This window comes from Homo sapiens, chromosome 2 (genome assembly GCF_000001405.40).
Source record: "Homo sapiens chromosome 2, GRCh38.p14 Primary Assembly".
In the NCBI taxonomy this organism is placed as follows: Eukaryota; Metazoa; Chordata; class Mammalia; order Primates; family Hominidae; genus Homo; species Homo sapiens.
This window is the reverse complement of record NC_000002.12, coordinates 20075993-20098931: the sequence shown is the minus strand read 5'-3', so window position 1 is coordinate 20098931 and position 22939 is coordinate 20075993. Positions and strand designations below refer to the sequence as shown.

The 22939-nt window shown below is 47.8% G+C and overlaps 1 long non-coding RNA gene across 1 annotated transcript in view, besides 4 other annotated features; it reads right to left on the bottom strand.

The window, feature by feature from the left end:
* Positions 1-22939, bottom strand: part of LAPTM4A-DT (LAPTM4A divergent transcript) — a 65743-nt gene that overhangs the window by 18948 nt on the left and 23856 nt on the right. The window lies entirely within an intron of this gene.
* Positions 6673-7172: an enhancer, noted in NCBI's record as "H3K27ac hESC enhancer chr2:20291521-20292020 (GRCh37/hg19 assembly coordinates)". NCBI's record gives its function as "activates a minimal SCP1, AML or CMV promoter by ChIP-STARR-seq in primed H9 embryonic stem cells {active_cell/tissue: H9 hESC(primed)}" and the evidence as "EXISTENCE:reporter gene assay evidence [ECO:0000049][PMID:30033119]".
* Positions 7173-7674: an enhancer, noted in NCBI's record as "H3K27ac hESC enhancer chr2:20291019-20291520 (GRCh37/hg19 assembly coordinates)". NCBI's record gives its function as "activates a minimal SCP1, AML or CMV promoter by ChIP-STARR-seq in primed H9 embryonic stem cells {active_cell/tissue: H9 hESC(primed)}" and the evidence as "EXISTENCE:reporter gene assay evidence [ECO:0000049][PMID:30033119]".
* Positions 17260-17816: an enhancer, noted in NCBI's record as "NANOG-H3K27ac-H3K4me1 hESC enhancer chr2:20280877-20281433 (GRCh37/hg19 assembly coordinates)". NCBI's record gives its function as "activates a minimal SCP1, AML or CMV promoter by ChIP-STARR-seq in primed H9 embryonic stem cells {active_cell/tissue: H9 hESC(primed)}" and the evidence as "EXISTENCE:reporter gene assay evidence [ECO:0000049][PMID:30033119]".
* Positions 17817-18373: an enhancer, noted in NCBI's record as "NANOG-H3K27ac-H3K4me1 hESC enhancer chr2:20280320-20280876 (GRCh37/hg19 assembly coordinates)". NCBI's record gives its function as "activates a minimal SCP1, AML or CMV promoter by ChIP-STARR-seq in primed H9 embryonic stem cells {active_cell/tissue: H9 hESC(primed)}" and the evidence as "EXISTENCE:reporter gene assay evidence [ECO:0000049][PMID:30033119]".

Here is a 22939-nt window from a genome sequence, read left to right as displayed (position 1 = left end):
TTCAAGACCAGTCTGGCCAACATGATGAAACCCCGTCTCTACTAAAAATACAAACAAATTAGCCAGGTGTGGTGGCGCCTGTAGTGCCAGCTGAGGAGGCATGAGATGGAGGCTGAGGCACAAGAATTGTTTGAACCCAGGAGGCAGGGGTTGCAGTGAGCCGAGATTGTGCCACTGCACTCCAGCCTGAGTGACAGAGCGAGACTCCGTCTCAAAAAAAGAAAAAAATAATAAAAAGAAAAGGAAAAAGAAAAAGTTATATTATAAAATGAAATTTTTAAATAAATATTAAAATTATCAGTGTTAGTTGCCAGTATGGTATAACTCAGTAGATATTAGCCACATAAACATATTGGGATCCTCAATAATTTTTGAGAGCGTAAACATGTAAAAAGTGTCAAGGAACAAACTGGTTCGGATAGAGTAGCTGTAGCCCGGCTTGGGCGGCTGCTGCCCCTGCCCCAAGGAGCCAACTGAAGCCTGGTGTTTCCCTAGGAACGTACCAAGTGCTGACCTGCACGCAGGGAGAAGGGGCAGATGCGGCTAAGACGAGTTGACATTACAAGGCAGCGACGCAAGAGGGCGGCCTTACCCACGGGCAGGTTTCTTGTGCTGGATGCAAGATGACTGATGCAAATGTCAGTTTTATTCACCTCATTAACGAAAAGCAACTTTGGTTTCTTGTTTACAATGATATAATTTTTACCTCTCTTGTGTTTCTCTGGCTCAATATGGGTTCCAGTAAACACGTGCTGCCTGCTCATTTAAGGACTCCACACTGGGGCATCCTATGTGCTGGGGCAGGCACTCCCTGGTCACACCCCTCTGGCCCCTCAGGACGGAATCACAGAAAGACACATCAGCCCTTTGACCCTGTGTCTCCTGAAGTGGCCGCTGGAACACTGGCCTCCCACGGGTCCTAGTGAGGGTAGGCGGACATTTACTCCGGGGACCTCCATAGTGGCAACCGTCCAGGCTGGCCACTCCTGGTTCCGGCTGACATCTCACACTTTGCTTTGTGATACCACAAAGATGTTTTCTTGGTTTGTGTGTGTCTCTGGCCCATCCCTGTGGTTCCCAATGCCTGAGACTGGTTCATAGCAAGTAACCAGACTGGGTCTTTAGAGGTAATTAGGGGAGGGGATGGGCACTGGGAGGGTCCCTGGCTGGAGGTAAGGGACCCAGCTTCCAGGAGGCCTCCTGAGTGCCCTTAGGCCAGTCATGTGTCCCCTGGAGCCACAGCTTCTCATCTTTCAAAGGGGACTTCTGCCTGGGTCAGAGAGCTGTTATGGGACTCAGGTGGCACAACCGTGCGGTGGGCGCTGTCTGCCATGATACTGAAGTATGAAGTACGGGTGTTTATGGAATTCTTTTCTCTCTCCTATTGGCGGGGGCAGTGGAAGGTGTTTTTTTTGTTTGTTTGTTTTTTGTTTTTTGTTGTTTTTTTTTTTTTTTTGAGACAGAGTCTGGCTCTGTCGCCCAGGCTGGAGTGCAGTGGCGCGATCTCGGCTCACTGCAAGCTCCACCTCCCGGGTTCACGCCATTCTCCTACCTCAGCCTCCTGAGTAGCTGGGACTACAGGCGCCTGCCACCAAGCCCAGCTAATTTTTTTGTATTTTTAGTAGAGACAGTGTTTCACCGTGTTAGCCAGGATGGTCTCGATCTCCTGACCTCGTGATCCACCCGCCTCGGCCTCCCAAAGTGCTGGGATTACAGGCGTGATCCACCGCGCCCAGCCGGGCAGTGGAAGGTTTTTGACAGGGAAAGGGCACAGTCTGTTTTGTGCCTTGGAAGGGTGTATCTGGTGACTGGTGAGAATGTTTGATTGATTGATCGATTGAGACAAAGTCTCTCTCTCTTGCCCAGGCTGGAGTGCAGTGGCACAATCATGGCTCAGTGCAGCCTCAACTCCCTGGGCTGAAGCCATCCTCCCACCTCAGCCTCCTGAGTAACTGGAACTGTAGGCATGTGCCACCATGCCAGGCTATTTTTTTTAGTGTTTCATAGAGATGGGATCTTACTACATTGCCCAGGTTGGTCTCAAACTCCTGGACTCAAGAGATCCTCCCACCGTGGCCTCCCAAAGTGCTAGGATTACAGGTGTGAGCCACCAGGCCTAGCCAGGAGAATGTTTTAGAGCACAAACTAAGTGGAGGGATGGGAGTTAGGAGGCAGTTGACAGGGGCCAGATAAAAGATGATGAAAGCCATCTGAGGTAGGCTATGAGAATGGAGGGCAGAGGGTGGGTGGGTGAGAAACCCTAGGAGCAGATGGAGGAGGCTTGGTCATCGGTTAGATTAAAGTGGGAAGGGGCCAGGGTAAGAACAGCCTAGGACAACTCCCAGGGCCTCTAGAAGGGGAAGGAGTAACTTGTTCTTCTAGACGGAGGGCGTTTTCCTCACTGGTCCAGCCTCACTGAGTTTGCTCAGATCCTGAAGGTGGTACAGGCTTTGTGTCTGGCAGCCTGAGGGCTCTCAGAGGGGCCTCTGCGGTCCCAGTTGGCTCTTCAGCAGCCAGGACCCCACCCCCATCAACCACTGACTCAGTAGGATGGACACAGGCTCCCACAAATAGGACTCCCCCTCATTGTGGTAGACAATTCATTAAATGTGGGCAGAGAAACATATTTACAGAGACTATTTCATTCCCTTTTATAAGTCATTTTCCAACACAGTGACATAAGCATAGTTGTTGGACATTGGAGCTACTGGGACTTTTAGAATTCTAGTCCAGCACCTTCATTTTACAGACGGGAAAATTGTGTCCCAAATAATTCAATTTGACAAACAATGAGCATTGAGCACCTATGATGTGGCAAGTAAAATCAAGCAGAGTAAGAGACTATGAACTGATGCATGGGGTGACATCTTAGGCTGTTCAGGAGCAGTTTCTCTAATAAGATGAGACTTAGGACCTCCCAGGCACTTCATCGACATGAAGGCCTTCAGCGGAGGCAGAAAGTGGACCGCAGAACTCCCTTTCCAAAGTAAGCTTACGCTCTGACTCCTACCACAGGCAAACTTAGCTGGATGCCTTTGCTTCCCTGGCTACATTCTAGAACGACAAGATCTGGTTACATTCTGGGGAAAATGGTATTTCCATCTATATTCAAAGGGTGGAAAAAAATACCTACTGTCAGAGAAATTGTCAAGGAAATATTTCAAGAAAATGTCCCAGACAAGAGGGACAAGTTTCCACATTAAAAGGGCCCATTCCAGCACAATGGATGAAGAGACCTACAGCAAGGTCGGTTATTGTGAAATTTCACAACACTGGGGACAAAGAGAAGATGTAAAAGCTCCCAGAAGAACAGAAAAAAAAAATCCCATCACATACAAAGGAGACAGAAATCAAGCTGGCTTTATGTTTCTCAGTTGCAACATTTTTTAAAGCAATGGAGCAGTGTTTTCAAAATTCTAAAGGAAAATGATTTCTAACCTAAAACCTATACCCAGCCAACCTATCAATCAACTGCAAGGGTAGAAAAGACTTTTCCAGGTATTCAAGTATCACGGCCCCAAATGCACCTTTTCTCAGAAAGCTACTGGGGGATGTGCTCTATCAAAACATAGGGGTGAAATGAGGAAGAAGGCAAGGGGACCTTAACCCAGGAGAGAGATGAAGGGATTTTCCCAAATGGTTATGCACAGGACTCTAGGGTTCAGAAGAGCTTCCCAGGAGGGTGAAGTTGGTAGGACACCACAGGCTTTCTGAACAGCCTGAAAGGAGATGTCTATACTTGACAAAAACTTTGGGGTTTCATTAGTAATAAGTACTTAGAAACTTAAACAAACTAAAACAAAGAAGCAAACAACAAGGTAATGATTAATTTCAGGAAAAGTACAAAATAAGCAAGCAAAAGGTTACCATGGTCTACTATATGATTCAGCTGTGAGTATTGTTGATGTAGTAATAATAATGTAATGCAAACTATTAATGAACTAAAATTATAATGTAACTCTATTTGAAGGGATAGGAAGTATGTTTATGTATACTGCTCTCACTATACATAAACATCTCATCTTCTGTAGCAGAAACTCAACGAATGACATTATAAGTAGAAAAATCAAATAGTAATCTAAGCATAATATTTACAGCTATGAAGGTAAATACTAAAAGAACCAGCTGAAAGCTTGGGAAGCAGGAAAAGGCAAAATCTGAGACTGGGGGCAGGGATCCTTAAACTATGACCATGCATAAACAATAAAAATTCAAACTAAACTCCCCCTCCCCAGGCATTCAGTGTTCTTTGTGGTTTGGCCTCAAGCTGTTTTTACAAGCTTATTTTCCACTGCCCCTCCTTCTTCTGACATACCCCTGATGCCCCAGCTTCAATTATAAACCCCTCCCAGAAACTGCCACCTTTCTCTAGAATGGCTTCCTCCTGCCTGTCTCAAGGTCCTAACTTAAACCCAACCTCTCCCAAGAAGCCTTCTCAGATCCCACAGAGCCAACCCCACCCACCGCCCAAGGAGGAATCAGCTGTTCAGGCTTCCTCCTCCTTATTGCAGCCATCCTGCTCCTCACGGGCTAAGGATCCATGCATGAGGCTGCCTCCCCACTGGGACCCAGGAGCCTGAGAGCAGGGCCTTGCCACTGTCTCCTACAGGGCCCAGCACCCCTGTGTATGGCCCCAGTTGCCTTGTTGAATCACAGTCCTTGGCATCAGGGCCAGATTCATACGTGGGGTGATATCAGTCACTCCAGAAGCCCCAACCCTGGGCTGTGAGGGTGGCCGACGGTGACTTCCTCCTGCCATTCAGGACAGAGGCCAGAGGCCTTCTTTCCCTGCTGGGCTCATGCTGCCAACATGCTCCTCCCAGGCTGCCCCCCACTCACTGGCTGGGCCCAGTCTTTCCCCTCACAGCCCTGTCCCTTGGCTTCTAGGCTCTCAACCTGTTTAGAAGGCAAGCTTGGTACAGGAGTCAGATTTCCTCGGAAAGATGGGGGGACAGTTAATTGAAAAAGGAGTACGTGTTCTTCTGGTGTCTTCTCACATTACCAGGAGGTCGCCAGCCCTTGGCATGGCCTTGTCTGAGGGATTTTGGCAAGGCAGGCTTGCTGTGTCTTTAATAAAAGCCCAAGCTCCCAGAGAGACCGTGTGGATGTCCTGCAGGGGGTGCCTTTGAGAGGAGCATGGAAGAGAGATTTTTTTTTTTCTCCCAGGCTGGAGGGAGATCACAGGGAAGCCTGTGAACAAAAGGCCAGCCCAGGTGCACCTTGGCCCCCTGGACCTTAGACCCCAGGGCTTCCAGCCTTGCCAGACATTCCCACAGTGGCTCAGAGCCACTGACCCGACGGGTCCATTTCAGATTCCTTCAGTCTGTGGTTGTCCAAACGGTAAATAGGAAGACCAGTAACTGATGACAGCAGGAAGTTCCTGAAGTTTTCACGCTGTGTAAGACCCCCACAGCCTGGGCACAGTCCTGGTGTGTGGGGATTTGGGGCAAATTAAAGTTGATTTGGAAGAATTAAGGCTAAGAGTCAGTGGGTCTCAGAGGCTTCTGCCCTTGCAGCCTACCTGGGCTGAGTGTGCACATGGCTGGGATCTCAGCGACACGTGAGGATGGCTTTTGTTCCCAGGGTGGCTGTGCCAATGAGGATGGCGAGGTCACACCAGAGACTGGGTGCCAAAAAGTGCCAAATTGCTCACAAGGGGAAAGGAATTACCACAAACAGTTTAGGCTAATTAATTCATCTCGTGAGGCTGGAAGGGGTGCTTGGATTCATGGCCACCTTCTACCAGGACAAGACGAAAAAGTGGCCAAAGAAGCCTGGTGGCTGGGAAGCCCTGGTGTCTGCCTCACACCTGCTTCAATGTGGTCCATACTGGGGAGGACTTTGCATGTCGCTGTGTAACCTGGAAGGAAGGGAAGAAGGAAAGAAGATCGACCTGTTCTTTCTGATGGAGCACGCCCCACCCTAAGCCTGGGGCAGGCATGTGTGGGCCTGCCTGGCTCAGTGATGGGGAGGCCACCAGAAATCTGTCTTGGGGACACAAGAGCTTTCTGGGAAAACATTCAAATTTGAGGACACAAAGTGTATCTTCACAAAGAGGACCCAGACCCAAGTCTGAATCAGTAAGAATCCCTTACTGACAAATCTCGAAGATGAGGAATGTTGGAAGGCCCACAGAATGGCCACCACTCTGGTTCATTCCCCCGCCCGGCGCCCTCATGCCTTCAACAGTAGAGTTAGTTCCATAGTTGAGTTAAAATAGAATGAGTGACTTCACCAAAGCTCTGTGAGTTATTGCAGCTTGCACTTTGAAACCATCTGGGAAGTGTAGCATTTTCCTGTAACAACGTGGCTTGGAAGACCCCAGACAACATAGTGCCGCTATGGCACCTCATGGGGAGCCTGGTTCATCATCATGGTGGTGACCTGGGGCAGTGGCAGTGGCACCGGGCAAAGGCGGCAGAGGCTGGTGGGATCTGGCAGCGGGCCCCAGGTGGGTCGTGGTGGCCCCAGCAGGTGACTTCATCTAGAGGGGGACACCAGCTGGGCCTCGGCGGGCACATACCTTTCCAGGAATTAGAAATAGGCACCCAGTCTGGGCCCCCCTCCGCTGGTCAGAAGCAGAACTTGACAAGCAGGGCTCAGGCTGTGTTCCAGGCTCAGGCTGTGTTCCAGCCTCTGCTTACTCCAGGCCAGGCACCTTTGGGTGACGGCCCTGGACACCAGTGAAACCCCGTAGGAAATCCAGATGTGCAGAGAAGAGACTGGGGGTGCCATGGACGTGGGGGCTGGGAAAACACCCTGGCTAGAGCAATGTTTTAAAATCTAGAAAACCATGAAGAAAATAATGGAAAGCATTTGTAACCTCAGCATTTGATCTTCAAGTTTCAGAAAACTCGATGCAGAGCGAAATCCGATTCTGAGGGTCGTTTAAGAGACCTTCCTTCAGGAGATGCTTTGGGTCTCACTGGAGGAACCAGGGCTTTGCTAGACCCCGGGCGCAGCTGCTCCCTCACTTGCCTGCAGCCCTGGCCAGGATGACTACAGTTTATGCTGAAAAGCGTTACTGCTTCCTGTGCAGTCCCCACTCAGGAATTCCATTTCTCTTGGTAAGAGTCCATGTGTCAGATTCCTGGGGCTCACTGTCCCTGGAAAGCCCCCAAGCTCTGGAAAATGATTCATCGATTCATGCTCATTTCAGAATATTGCTTGAGAACCTTCTCTGCCCCATCCTTACCTTCAGGGAAAAAAAAAAAATCAGTGTGTAAAAAGGCCAACATAATCGCTGGCACTCCTCCCCTCTGCCTGCGTGGGCCAGCACCTCTAACTCCCTGCAGCTGTCCCTTCTACTCAAAAGCCTGGCCCCGCTGTGTCAGGGCCATCATGAGGCCCCCATCACGAGGTCCTCACACCGCCTGCCAGAGATCTGGCTCAGGCTGCTTCCTCGCAGCAGTCATTCCCAGGAGGTCTCATTGTACGTCCCCAGCTTCATTCTGCCTTTTGCAATATCCCTTAGTATTGGCTCAGGAATAGTCTCCACCCTTTTCTTAAAGGTCCCAACAGATGAGAGAAGGTGATTGCAATGGAAGGAGGAACTGCTTCCATTGCACTCCTCTGATAAAACTTCAAGGTTCTGAAGGTCATAAGAGGTGGAAATGGAATAAGAAGGGTATTTTGAACCCCTTTAGCCCTGGACAGTGTGAACACACATCACCCTCACACACACGCTGACACAACACACCTGCATGCTCACACCTGAGTGCTCACACTGTGTAACGGGCTCAACCTCAAGCTGACCCCTAAGAACTTTAACGCTTCCCTGAGTGGGAAAGGGGTTGCAAACAGCTTCCGACACCAGAGGTGGAGGCTTCAGTTGTCTTTTAGGGAAGATCCTTCTTTTTGCTTTTCTTCCTTCCTTGTCTCTCTCCCTTCCTTCTTCTTTCCTTCCTTCCTTCCTTTTTTTCCTGGCTTCTTTCCTTCCTCAGCAAAAAGGGCCCTTGAGTCCCACAAATGTAGTGTGACCATTGTCCTTGGGGGAAACTGTAGTTATTAACTCATAAAAGATTGTGTATAGACCCGTGTAATGAGGAATGTCTGAGTTGTCACCAAAGCTGCTGGGAATTTGTGTGGGGTAGGAGGTGGCGAGGGGTGTATGTGCAGGGACAATGTGGAAAGAAGGGAAGAAAAGAGCTTCCGAAGTGTGGAGGAGGAGGAGGGACAACCCTGGGCCTTCACGTGGCTTGTTCCTGGGGTGAGGCGGTCACTGCCCAGGCATTTCACACCGGCCGTTATGAGGGCTTCTCGAAAGCTTTTTCTTCAGGAAAATGAAAATACATAAACACCACAGATATGCTCACAGATAATTGTACTACATTGTTCGGAAGTAAAAGAACTGTTTCTAAAAAAATAAAAATATTATAAACACCACCTAATCAACACGTTGAAATTAATAGCTGAACTGTGTGAGTGCATACTGTCAGCAAGCTATGGACATGTTGCCCTCCATGAGCTGGCGCTCCAGTGTGCTTGGGGAGGCCATCCCAGGCGGAGAGGGCTTCTTTGAGGGGGTGCAGGCTGAACAGAGGGAGGAAGCCGAGGGGCTGCTTTCATGAGGCACTTGGTGGGAGGCAGGATCAGGAATAGCACTTTTCTTCCTCATTTACACGGAGGCAGAGCACCATCACTGCTCTGGCCATGGGGAGTGGACCTTGGCGGCTTTCAGGTGATCACATCACCGAGAGTCCTTCAGGAAACTTGAAGAGCAATGGGCACTGGCTGGGGAGGCCAGACCAAGAGAGGATACCAGGAGTGCCAGGACATCTGTGGTGGACCAATGGGCTCGGGAACTCTTGGGGTCCCCTTTTGAAGATGCCCAGAAAATAACCAAGAGGTCAAACACAGGCTGCAGAGGTACTGAGGGTCTGCCTCCTGCTAATAGGAACTCAGAGTCACTGATATTTGGGCTATCAGTTCAAAAGAATCTTTTCTGCTCTGTTCTGATAAAAACAGGCGCTAGCAGCTATCTCAAAAGGCCAACCTTATGTTCCACAAGAATGATGTTATCTGCAGGAGTGATTGGAAAAGTTGTGTATCTTGTGACCTCCGGAATAATGGCTGGCAATAATTTATGTCTACACCTTAGCAGAATTTAGGCTCCTCTCCTCCCCCTAACCTGGTGGTCTCTCATTAGCTTTACAAAGGTGGTTGAGTTTTGGGGGAAGGGCTATTATTTAAACTATAAATTATTGTCTTCCAAAGCTAGCCCTAAGCCTATGAATAATGAAGTCAGCTTGAAGGCAAGAGTGGGGTTGGTAGATCAGATCTCTGCCATTGCCATAATGTTCTCACTGTTATCATTTTTGCAAAGGTGGTTTTACTTCTACATACTCTCTAAAAGAATTCACCAGATCCTTGAAATTTATCCAGGGACTGCAGGTGAAGAACAACAAAGCTAGAGAAAAGGGTGTTTGGTAATCCTGATTCTAATGAAAAAATTAAACTTCATATTGAAGTTAATCTTGTTCAAAAGTTATCATGTCTTAGGGGAAGTAGTGCAAAATGCAGAAGTAGTTTAAACATCCATCAGAAGGGTCCTCACTCTACCAGGACAGGACATTTACTCCCCAGTCTGTGTGTGACACTTTCAGCTGCAATAAGAACTTCTTTCACCAGAGTAAATTCAACAAAGGTTTGTTTTTAAAAAAATACAAACAAACCCAGGCTATTTGATTCTAAAGCCTGTGGTTTTTTATCCCCCCATTATACCACAGGTACCAAACTAGACAGATGTTTAAGTTATTTAATAACTATGATTAAATTGTTGAACTATAATCAAAGGATGTAATTTAAAAAGAAAATTGTTGCATTCAAATTCCCAACACTATGCTGAAGCGAAAGTTAAGAAAAAGAACTTTGTATTCTGGTCAAGGAAGAGGGAGTTGGAGACAGGCAGCAACTAGAAACAAGGCAGTCAGTGATCAAAGGGGAGAACCTTAAATGCAGTCCAAGGACAGGACAGGCAGCCTGCATGGCTTTCTAGCAGAGACCATGGCTGGAGAAAGGAGGCTAGGGAAGGTTGGTAGGTGGGAGAAGCGTGTCACTTTAAGTGTGTCACTTCTTCCTACCAAGTCTGAGGTTTCCTGTCTGGGCCATAAAGGGGTAAGAACAGATCTTCCTAAAAGCCTTCCCAACTCTATGTTCCATGACTGTCCAAGGGAATAGCATAGGCAAAAGCTGTGAGGCTGGATTGAACCACAATGAATTAGTTGTTTGTCTAGGAGTCCTGTCCACTTAGAAAAGTAGATGCATTCCAGGAGATTACAGGGGAAAGGCTAAGACTCCTCAGATGCGAAAATGATTAACCTTGGTGCTGAAGACAGTGGGAGCCATTGTAGGTCCTAGAGGAAAGACGTAGGAACATGATTAATCCAAACAGCTAAGGATGGAATGAGGAGGGAATGGAAATCTGTACGTGCACTGTGTTGAGTATTTTCTATTTGCCTCTCTGCCCAGATCTATTCTATGCCCTGCTCTGTGCCAAGGACCCCCTGATGATTACATCAAGGGACTCTGTCTTAGTCTGTTTTCTTTTGCTGTGACAGAATACCACAGACTGGGTAATTTATAAAGAAAAGAAGTTAGGCCAGGCGCAGTGGCTCACGCGTGTAATCCCAGCACTTTGTGAGGCCAAGGCGGGCAAATCACCTGAGGTCAGTAGTTCAAGAATAGCTCTGCCAACATGGTGAAAGCTTGTCTCTACAAAAATACAAAGATTAATTGGGCATGATGGCGGGTGCCTGTAATCCCAGCTACTGGGGAGGCTGAGGCAGGATAATTGCTTGAACCCGGTTTCATGTGCGTCCGTGTGAAGAGACCACCAAACAGGCTTTGTGCGAGCAATAAAGCTTTTTAATCACCTGGGTGCAGGCAGGCTGAGTCCGAAAAGAGAGTTAGTGAAGGGAGATAGGGGTGGGGCTGTTTTATAGGATTTGGGTGGGTAGTGGAAAATTACAGTCAAAGGGGGTTTTTCTCTTACAGGCAGGGGTGGGGGTCACAGGGTGCTCAGTGGGGGAGGTTTTGAGCCAGGAGAAGGAATCTCACAAGTTTAATTGCTCAGTTAAGGTGGGGCAGGAACAAATCACAATGGGGGAATATCATCAGTTAAGGCAGGAACTGGCCATTTTCACTTCTTTTGTGATTCTTCACTTGCTTCGGGCCATCTGGACATATACGTGCAGGTCACAGGGGATATGATGGCTTAGCTTGGGCTCAGAGGCCTGACATTCCTGCCTTCTTATATTAATAAGAAAAATAACATAAAATAGTATTGAAGTGTTGGGGCAGCAAAAATCCTTGGAGGTGGTATGGAGAGATAATGGGCGATATTTCTCAGGGCGGGATTAGGGGCAGCGTGGGAACCTAGAGTGGGAGAGATTAAGTTGAAGGAAGATTTTGTGGTAAGGGGTGATATTGTGGGGTTGTTAGAAGGAGCGTTTGTCATATAGAATGATTGGTGATGGCCTGGATGCGGTTTTGGATGAATTGAGAAACTAAACGGAAGCTACAGGGTCCAAATAAAAGAAGGAGAAAAATAGGTATTAAAGGACTAAGAGTTGGGAGGACCTAGGACATCCAATTAAAGAGTGCCCAAGGGGGTTCAGTGTAATTACTTGCTTGGTTGGCGAGTTTTTGGGAAAAGACCATTAGTCCATTTTACCTTTCCTGAAGATTGAGGACAGAAAGGGGTATGAAGGTTCCACTGACTACCAAGAGCCTGAGAAACTGCTTGGGTGATTTGACTAGTAAAGGCCAGTCTGTTATTGGACTGTATAGAGGTGGGAAGGCCAAACTGAGGAATTATGTCTGACAGAAGGGAAGAAATGATGGCGGTGGCCTTCTCAGACCCTGTGGGAAAGGCCTCTATTCATCCAATGAAAGTGTCTACACAGACCAAGAGGTATTTTAGTTTCTTGACTTGGGGCATATGAATAAAGTCAATTTGCCAGTTCTGGGCAAGGGTAGGGAAGGGAGGGGGCCTGAACAATCCCTGAGGAATAGTAGAATAGCAGATGGAACCCTGAGAAGTGATTTCCTTGAGGACAGATTTCCACAATGGAAAGGAAATGAGAGGGTCTAAGAGATGGGCTAGTGGCTTGTAACCTACATGGAAGAAGCTATGAAATGATGACAGAATAGAATGGGCCTGTGAGGCTGGAAGGAGATGTTTTCTTTGGTCTAAGAACCATTTGCCTTATGTGGGAAGAGATTGATAGGTGGCAGTTTCAGTGGGGGAGTAGGTGGGAATGACTGATGAGAAGGAGAAAAACTGGTAGTAAGGGACAGAAGTTGGAATGCTAGCTGCTTCTTTAGCTACCTTATCAGCATAAGTGTTGCCCTGAGCGATGGGATCTGACGCCTTTTGATGGCCCTTGCAGTGAATGACTCCAGCTTCCTTTGGAAGTAAAACAGCCTTGAGAAGAGTTTTTACTAAAGAGGAATTAATGATGGAGGACCCTTGCGTAATGAGGAAAACTCTTTTGACCATATAACAGCATGGTGGTGCAGGATATGGAAGGCATATTTGGAGTCAGTATAAATATTGACACATGGTCCTTTTGCAAGAGTGAGGGCTCAAGTCAATGAGTTTGGCTTGCTGAGAAGTAGTGGAGGGGGGCAGAAAGTATATGCATCAGGTGTGAGGAAGAAAATAGCTTTTGGAAGTTATGAGAACTGTAGAGAGTGAGTTGAGCACAGTTTGTGATTTTGAGGGCCCCTAAAAGTATTAAGGCAGTGGCAGCCACTGCACGCAGACATGAGGGCTAGGCTAAAACAGTAAGGTCAAGTTGTTTGGATAAAAAGGCCACAGGGCGTGGTCCCAGTCCTTGTGTAAGAATTTTGACCGCACAGCCCTGCACTTTGGCTATGTGTAATGAAAAAAGGGTTGGGATGAGTCAGGGAGAGCTAGTGTGCGAGCAGTCTCTAAAGCTGTCTTCAAGGAATGGAAAGAGGAGTGGGGAAAGGATTTAGGATCTATGGGGTCAGCTAGGTTTCCTTTTGTGAGTTTATAGAATGGTTTTTTTAGGATGACAAAACCAGGTATCCAAAGACAAAAGTATCCAATCATGCCCAGGAAGGAAAGGAGTTGTTTTGTAGAAGGGGTTGGGGGTTTGAGAGATCAGTCGGACACAATCGGCAGGGAGAGCACGTGTGTTTTTATGAAGAATTATGCCAAGATAGGTAATGGATGAGGAAGAAATTTGGGCTTGACTGAAGTAATGCGGGCTGTCCGTGAAGCCTTGCAGCAGTACAGCCCAGGTAATTTGCTGAGCCTGATGGATGTCAGGGTCAGTCCAAGTGAAAGCAAAGAGAGGCTGGGATAAAGGGTGCAAAGGAATAGTAAAGAAAGCATGTTTGAGATCCAGAACAGAATAATGGGTTGTGGAGGGGTTGTGGAGGGAGGTATTGAGGATAGGAGAGTATATGGGTTTGGCACCACGGGGTGGATATGCAAAACAATTTGGTTGATAAGGCACAGATCCTGAACTAACCTGTAAGACCTGTCCAGTTTTTGAACAGGTAAAATGGGGGAATTGTAAGGAGAGTTTATAGGCTTTAAAAGGCCATGCTATAACAGGCTTTAATCCTTTTAAAGCATGCTGTGGGATGGGATATTGGCATTGAGCGGGGTAAGGGTGATTAGGTTTTAATAGGATGGTAAGGGGTGCATGATCGGTCGCAAAGGAGGGAGTAGAGGTGTCCTATACTTGTGGATTAAGGTGGGGAGATACAAGGAGAGGATATGAAGGAGGCTTTGAACTGGGGAAAAGGGTGGCAGTGAGGTGTGGCTGTAGCCTAGGAATAGTCAGGGAAGCAGATAATTTAGTTAAAATGCCTAGACCTAATAAGGGAACTGGGCAGGTGGGGATAACTAAAAAGGAGTGCATAAAAGCATATTGTCTAAGTTGGTACCAGAGTTGGGGAGTTTTAAGAGGTTTAGAAGCCTGGCTGTCAATACCCACAACAGTTATGGAGGCAAAGGAAACAGGCCTTTGAAAAGAAGGTAATGTGGAGTTGGTAGCCTCCGTATTGATTAAGAAGGGGACAGATTTACCCTCTACTGTAAGAGTTACCAAAAGCATCTGTGATGGTCCAGGAAGCTTCCGAGGCAATCGGGCAGCATCAGTTTTCAGCTGCTAAGCTGGGAAGATCTGGGAAGGAGTCAGTCAGACAGCCTTGGGCCAGAGTTCCAGGGGCTCTGGGAGTGGCTGCCGGGTGAGTTGGACGGTCTGATTTTCAGTGGAGTCCTGCACAGATGGGACACAGCCTAGGAGGAATCCCAGGCTGCGGGCATTCCTTGGCCCAGTGGCCAGATTTCTGGCACTTGAAGCAAGATCTTGATGGAGAAGATCCTGAAGGAACACCTGACTGCTCTAGCTTAGGCATTTTGAAGTTCTTGTGTGCTGGAGATGTGGCTGGGGTTTCTCTCACAGCAGAGGCAAGTAACTGCAACTCTTCTCTATTTTTGTACACCTCGAAGGCAAGGTTAATTAAGTCCTGTTGTGGGGTTTGAGGGCCGGAATTTAATTTTTGGAGCTTTATTTAATGTTGGGAGCAGATTGGGTAATAAAATGTATATTGAGAATAAGATGGCCTTCTGACCCTTCAGGGTCTGGAGCCATAAAGTGTCTAAGGGTTGTTGCCAAATGGGCCATGAACTGGGCTGGGTTTTTATATTTGATGAAAAAGAGCCTAAACGGTAACTGATTTGGGAGAGGTTGGATAAAGAAAAAGGAGCATTAACCTTGACTATGCCTTTAGCTCCAGCCACCTCTTTAAGAGGAAATTGTTGGGCAGGTGGGGGAGGGCTAGTTGCAGAATGAAACTGTAAGCCAGACTGGGTGTGGGGAGAGGAGGTGATAGAAGGATTATAGGGTGGAGGAGCAGAAGCTGAGGAAGAATTGGAGTCTGATTCAGCCTGGCAGGGAGTGACCTAAGAAGCAGTCTGGGGATGAGGGGACAGGTCAGATGGGTTGGTAGAAAAGGAAGATTGAAAAGACTCAGCAACGCTTGGGGTTGGGACTGAGGGAACAGGCGGGAGGGAAAGAAGGAGGATTTGGGATGAGTCGCATTGGGACTAGGGAGGGACCGATGTGTAAAAGAATGCCTAGACATCAGGCACCTCAGACCGTTTGCCCATTTTATGACAAGAATTATCTAGATCTTGTAGGATGGAAAATCGAAAGTGCCGTTTTCTGGCTATTTGGAACCATTGTCGAGTTTGTATTGGGGTCAAGCAGCATTGCAGAAGAAAATAAGGCATTTGGGTTTTAGGTCAGGTGTGAGTTGAAGAGGTTTTAAGTTCTTGAGAACACAGGCTAAGAGAGAAGAAGGAGGAATGGAGCATGGAAGGTTGCCTATAGTGAAGGAGGCAAGCCCAGAGAAAAGAGAGGGTAGAGACATGGAGAGAAGGGTTGGGGGGTGCTTGCCCCCCAGGAAAGTGGTGCTTGCCACTAAAGGTGAAGGATCAAGGCAGGAGTCCCTGTGGTGATCAGACACCTCTGAAACGTGGGTGAATAATCAAGCAGGTGTCCCCATGGTGATTAAACACCAAGGGAAGACTGTCTTCCCAAGTCTGACTGGCACCAGAGTTTTGGGTTCATGGATAAAATGCATCTCCTCTGTCTCTACCAGAAAAGGAAAGGAACTGAAATTAAGAGAAGGGAGAGATTGAAATGTGGCACCAAGATTGAAAGGAGAAAGAGGTTGAGGGATAGTGAGAGAGGTTGGAGAAGAGAGTAAAGAGAGGCCACTTACCCAATTTAAAATTGGTGAGATGTTCTTTGGGCTGGTTGGTCTGAGGACCAGAGGTCATAGGTGGATCTTTCTTATGGAAAAAGAGCAGGAAGACAGGGGATTGATCTCCCAAGGGAGGTCCCCCGATCCGAGTCACGGCACCCATGTGCGTGACTGTGCGTCCATGTGACGTGCGTCACATGTGAAGAGACCACCAAACAGGCTTTGTGTGAGCAATAAAGCTTTTTAGTCACCTGGGTGCAGGCAGGCTGAGTCCAAAAAGAGAGTCAGTGAAGGGAGATAGGGGTGGGGCTGTTTTATAGGATTTGGGTGGGTAGTGGAAAATTACAGTCGAAGGGGGTTTTTCTCTTACGGGCAGGGGTGGGGGTCACAAGGTGCCCAGTTGGGGAGGTTCTGAGCCAGGAGAAGGAATTTCACAAGGTTAATCACTCAGTTAAGGTGGGGCAGGAACAAATCACAATGATGGAATGTCATCAGTTAAGGCAGGAACCAGCCATTTTCACTTCTATTGTGATTCTTCACTTGCTTCAGGCCACCTGGACGTATATGTGCAGGTCACAGGGGATATGATGGCTTAGCTTGGGCTCAGAGGCCTGACACTGGGAGGCAGAAGTTGCAGTGGGCCAAGATTGCGCCATTGCACTCCAGCCTGAGTGACAGAGTGAGACTCCATCTCAAAAAAAAAAAAAAGAAAGAAAAAGAAAAGAAACAGAAAAGAAATGTATTCAGCTCATGGTTCTGGAGGCCAGGAAGTCCAAAAGCATGGCACCAGCATCTGTGAGGCCATGCTTGGTGCATCACAACATGATAGAAGGCATTATATGGCAAGAGGGCAAGAGCAAGAGAGCCAGAGAGAGCTTGCTTTTTATAGCGGAGCCACTCCCATGATGGCATTAATCCATCCTTGAGGGCAGAGGGCTACATTTCCAATGCATGATCTTTTGGGAGACACATTCAAACCACAGCAGATTTTCTTGCTAAGGAGAAGCACAGCAGGCAATCAGAGGGTGGGGAGAGAATGAGGTAGGAGTATTTACTCCCTCCACTGACCCCTGCCCTGCCACCAACCTTGCTGAGCTCAGGTGCCGGCTGCATTCCTCAATCTATGGGGAGCTTCAGCTCTGCCAGGTTCCTGCCAGGTAGTTCCTTCCCATTGCCTCTCCTGGCCTAGTTTCCTGCTGCAGCTAGTTCTTGGATGTCCTTAATCTTGTGTTGCCAGAAAAAAAAAAATAGAATGCCCTGTTAAATTTGCTTTTCAGATAAATAATGAGGACTTTTTTTTTTTGAGATGGAGTTTCGCTCTTGTTGCCCAGGCTGGAGTGCAATGGTGCGATCTTGGCTCACTGCAACCTCCACCTCCCAGGTTCAAGCGATTCTCCTGCCTCAGCCACCCTGGTAGCTGGGATTACAGGCATGTGCCACCACGCCCGGCTAACTTTTTGTATTTTTAGTAGAGATGGGGTTTCTCCATGTTGGTCAGGCTGGTCTCGAACTCTTGACCTCAGGTGATCCACTTGCCTCAGCCTCCCAAAGTGCTGGGATTACAGGCATGAACCACCATGCCTGGTCAATAATGAATAATTTTTTAGTATAAATATGTCTCAAATATTATTGCTTTAGGTATACTTATAAGTATTTATCTTGAAAAAATTATTCATTGCTTATTTGAAATGCAAATTTAACTGGACAACATATTTTTATTTGCTGAATCTGGCAATGCAGGCTTAATCCCTCTAAGCCCGCCCACATTCTGTAAGGGTCCCTTCATTAAACCTTTTCAGCAGAATCTCTGGCAGGTTTCCTGCTGCTTCTGACCCACAAACAACAAGCCCTCCTATTTCTACAGAGTTTCTTGGTGTTGCAGCAGCTGCAGGCCCTGCCCTCACTGGGGGTGAGCCTTACCAGGGCCCCTAGCCCCAGGTGCCCACATCTGCTGTCATGCACCCTCGTCCTTCAATGCATAATACCTGGAGGCCCTGAGGGGAGCCCCTTGTGGGAATCAAGAGGCATTTGCTCTCTGCATGGAGCAGAGCTCAGGCGGGACAGTGCCTGGGAACAACAGCTGGACCCGACTGAACCTCCCCCACAGGCTTCAATGCCTTTGAAGAGAGGCTCACACCGCCCCACAGCATTATAGCTGGAGGTGGTGCAGGGCAGTGGAGCCGCCCAGGCTCTTCAAGAAGGCAGCCTCACAGCCACTTCCTGCTTGGGTGGCCTTGACGGCTCTGAGCTTCAGTTTCCCATCGATAACTTGGAGGAAATATACTCCCCCCTCCCCCACCCAGGACTGTTAAGAGGAATGGAGATAATCTACGTAAACATTTTGCCATGTAAGAGGTATTCCAAAACTCATAAGCATTGTAATTACAGTGAGTTGTATGTGTCTGTCTCCCTCCCACAACCCCCGTGGGCTAGCCAATGGCAGTTCTCAGAACAGTCCATGGAGTAGGAGTTAAACTGGGTTAACCATCTGACAAAGGTCGCCGGATGGAGAGAACCGGTGCTGTCACTGAGTGAGTTTCCAAGAAGGAAGAGTTTATTGCCAGGGGCCAGATTTGAACCTTCAAAGGCCCTGAGCAGGACGCTAAGCCCAATTGTGAAGCAAGCGGAGTCAGCGACCTCTTTCTGACCTGCACACAACAAGCCCTCCCATGTCCACCGCAGTTCTGAGTGCTGCAGCGGTAGCAGGCCCCGCCTCACTGGAGTGACCATTTTGATGATTTTGTTTTAGCCTTCAAGCCCCCTCTCCACCTTGTTTTGTGCATGTGATGCGGCTTTGCTGATGCATTAAGTTCAAACTTTATCTGTTTGTCATGTTACCCTGCACTGGGAGATGGGGCTGGGACAGGGTGTTTCTGGGGCAGGGGGCCTCTTCTTCCAGACAGTATTCAGACCTGCGCGCAGCTCTCTGGCGCCTTCTACTTCTTAGGAGTGCCAAGATTTCTCCTCCAGGGCCACAACCTGGTAGATCATGTTATTCTGTTGCTGGTTTTCCCTGGGTCATCACCCGTTCACCAGCTCGAGGATGCCCTGGCCAGAAACCCAGGGGTTTTCGGGAGTACTGTGGAAGGTGGAGGGGGGTGATGGGGCCCACTTAGGAAGCCTAGAATGGTACCTCAGACACCCCTACTCCAGTTGACAAGGGACCTCTGAAGACCCTGGGCCTGTCACTGAGGCCAGCCGACTCCTGGTTTGGCATATGGTTGGGTATGGTATCCAGCACAGACCACCCAGCACAGGCCTCGTCTGGGCTTTGCAAAATAAACACCTGGCCACATAAAGGCCAGAGCCCCTGCTAGCCTCAGACCTCCAAGGCTCCTCATGTCCCCATGGAGCCAGGCCAGGGCAGGCTGGAGGTAACCCAGTGGAGACTGGGGAAGATCAGAACCACCTTGCAAATCCAAGTGCCTATTCTTCAGTCATGGGGACAGAAGCCCCACCTCCACACCCCATTCCAGATGCCATTCTGCAGAGAGGCAAGAGAAAGGGAAGGAAAGCTGAGACCAAGCTGACGGAGGAACCCCGTTCAGAGGCTGAGCACCTATTAGCCAGAACATCATGTAGAGGATTCATTTAACCTAATGCAGCAAATGAAGTCTCTTCCACGGACTAAAAGTGTTTTGCTACTCTCTGCTCAATGGATAGCAGCTTGTTAGGAAGATCAGATCCACCCTATGCTAGATTTTAAGAGCTGTTTTCTCTGCAAGTCTGAGGTGTGGTGTAGATCAATAAGGGACTCTGTGGCAAACTGCGAAAGTATTTCAAGAAAGTCAAGAATTACAGGACCATATAGGACTTTGAGGGAACCGGGGATGCTTTAAGGATGCTTTTGAGGCTGACATTCAGGGCAACACACTTTAACATCTGCTGTAAAGTGTCCAGGAACCATGCCATATAGATCTTCTGAGTTCTCCCTACTGGGTAGTTTTTTAGCAATAAGCTGTCTCTCTGTGGCCATATGTCAGGGGACATAGGACCTGGGTACAGGGCATGATTTCAGTTGGACCACAGCTCTGAGGACAAGGGCAGCTGTGTGTGGCTACAGACCTTGTGGAGAGCTGGAAGGGTCCCACTGCCCATTACTGAAGCAGCCACCCCAATGCCCAGCCTTCTCCTTGAAATGCATCAGAAGTATTGCTTGGACCCATTTAGGTGTCTGTAGGGTTCCGTGATGAGCAGGTCTCATCCTTTTTCAAAGGGTAGCAAGGACCCCTCTCAGCCTTCTGGGCTCGAGGAAAGACCCTGGAGAAGCTACTGGTGAGCGAGAGAACTCACACATCAGTGGGAGAAAAGATACCTGGAGATCACCTGATATCTCTCCCTACAGTGATTTCTGAATTCTCTCGCTCACCAGCAGCTTCTCCTCCCAACCCTCCCTGCTCTCTTGAATTGAGGGTACTGGTTATATTCCATTTGCCACCCCTTCTTTGGCCCCATCTGCCCTGAGATGCTGAACAATCACAGGAACTTCACACCTTGGGCCACTGCAACCTGGAAGCTGAGTTAGCTCACTTTCCTCCTGACAAAATTATTCTAGACCAGGTCAGGCCTCAGACACATCACCTCCTCTGTGCCACCTTCTTCCCTCAGTAGAATTAATCATGGATCATGCTCCCTTGGTGTTTGGAGATATGGTACATTGTGTTAGTAGTTTACCTACCAAGCTCAATCTCCTCACCTCACTGCCAAGCCTTGATATGACAGGGAGCTCTTCAAAGACAGAGACCGTGTCTCACTCACTGCTCTGAGCTATGAGAAGATGGTTAATTATCTAGATTTAATTTTTATAGAACCTTTGGAAAATGTCTTGACATTTGAATATAAGCATACAGAATTTGCTTTCCTAGGAATGGTCTTGCTCCAAATCAAATAACGAAGTCACACAGCATAGGGCCAACACAGCATGGGGGGAAGTTGTTCTACATCACTCTAGCTCCCTGTGCTCCTATTTTATGCTAGGATGGACAGAACCATTGCCCAGACTGTTTTAACACTAGCCTCGGATTTCTGTTTACCTGCTTCATTCCTTCCCTGAGGCTGCTGAGTGCTCAAGGAAATAAGAAGAACAGGAGTGCTGGAGAGAAATGAGAACTGACATTTACTCGGTGTCTCTCACGTGGCAGGCATTGTGCTGGGTAATTAGTGTCTGCTCCATGCAGTGCATAAGAAGATGGTATATTGTCTACTGCTGGGTGCAACCTTCAATGTGTCAAGAACTGTGAAGGGTCTGATATTTGATCACACTTGCAATCTAGTAACTTAGCTTGCCACAGTTTCATATATACTGACAGAAGACATGAGACTCCTGGATCAGAGACAAAGGATTTATTACTCACCCCTAGCATAGCAAGCAGCATGAGCTTCATGCTTGTGTGGATTCTCCTCGCCCTGTAAGTCCCATGAGGCTAATACGAAGAGGCCCAGGTGGATGCAGTGTGTGCGTTTCACAGCTGAGAAACCTCAAGACTAGGAAGTTCCAGTTTTTTGTAATGAGCTGCAAACAAACCTCCTCAAACTTTGACCTAGAGGGAGGCAGTGTCTTTATTAGACTGGGCGGTGAACAAACTTGCTGTTCACTCCAGAGGGAGGCACTGTCTCTATAGTCCAAGGCTATTCATTGTACATACTTGAACAGATAATCCAGAACAAAAGCTGCACTCACAAGATGTGCAGAAGTATGAAAGACTAGTGAAGAATGATCTCCCAATACTATGTATGTATGTTAAATCACATCCATTAATTTTCTCAAATCTATTTTCTTTTGTGCTTGATGTATTAATATATGATGGAGGCATGCCAAATCTCTCACTATTATGGATTTCTCCCTGTAATTTTTTCATCTTTGCTTTTTGTATTTTGAAGCCATTTATTTTATTCACACTTTATTCTCATTACATTGGGCTTGGCAAAGTGTCATGCATCCGTGTATAGATCATGTTATTCTGTTGCTTTCAGAGGGAATTGGGATCCAGATTCTAATTGTCTCTCAGTTCAGAATCTGGATCAGAATCAGAAGAGGGTGGCCAATGCTGCTAGAGGCTGCAGGCTGCAGGCTGCAGGGAAGAAGTCAGGAAACAAGCATGGGGCTGACCGTGGGGGGCTCATGTTTCAGGGTTCTTATCTGGGCACCCAACGATCCCACATGCAGTTCGTGGGTGAGGGAGCCCACAGCAGCACCTCAAAGTGAACAGGGATGGCACAGGCCCCGGGCTGGTACTAGGCAGTTGGAAGAACAATTGCATCTGCAGAGGGAGGAACTGAAAAGACATCCTTCCATCTGTATCCCAGAATCCCGTGTAGGGCCTCTCCATCAGGACAGGGCTGGCACTGGCTCCTTGGCCTCAGGTTGGCCTCATGAGTAGTCCAGTAAAAGTCCTGCAAACTTGTCACGTGCCAGCTCCACTGTGTACCCGTCTGCTTGAGATGCTGGACAATCACTTTAGACTGTTCATGATTCTTCCTCGACTCTTCAAGAGATTTCTTCAAATTTAAGAGATTCTTTTAGGAAACTGTGGATCTCCTGGTCACTCCAAGTATTAATGAACTTGTTGGATAGTTTTTCTGGTTCCTCGGTTTCATTTTCCTCCTTTACTTCCTGGGGGTTTCTAGTGATTTCAACCTGAAGTCTTACTTCTTCCATTTTATTTCTGAGTTTTCTCCTGGGATTCTTTTCACTGCGGCCACAGGGCTTAATCTTGGGTTGCCAAAGAACTAGCACTCATTCTGTGCTAACGGAACCCAGGAGTGTTGGGAGGTGCCCTTGTGGAAATATGTTTGCTGCTGTCAGTCTCTGGAGGTCTCTCATTTTGAGGCTATTTAAACAGATGCTATACGGCTTTGCAGTTGTTACATCTTCCCAGTGAATTGAACCTTTTGCCATTATGTTATCCTCTTTATCCCTGGTAATGTTTTTGTCTTAAAAATCTATTTTAGACTGGGTGTGGAGGCTCGTGCTAGTAATCTTAGCACTTTGGAAGGCCAAGGCAGGAGGATTGCTTGAGCTCAGGAGTGCGAGACCAGCCTGAGTGACATGGCAAGACCCTGTCTCTACAAAAAATACAAAAATTAGCCAGGCATGATGGCGTGTGCCTGTAGTCCCAGTTACTTGCGGGGTTGAAGCAGGAGGATCGCTTGAGCCCAGGAGATGGAGGTTGGAGTGAGCCGAGAT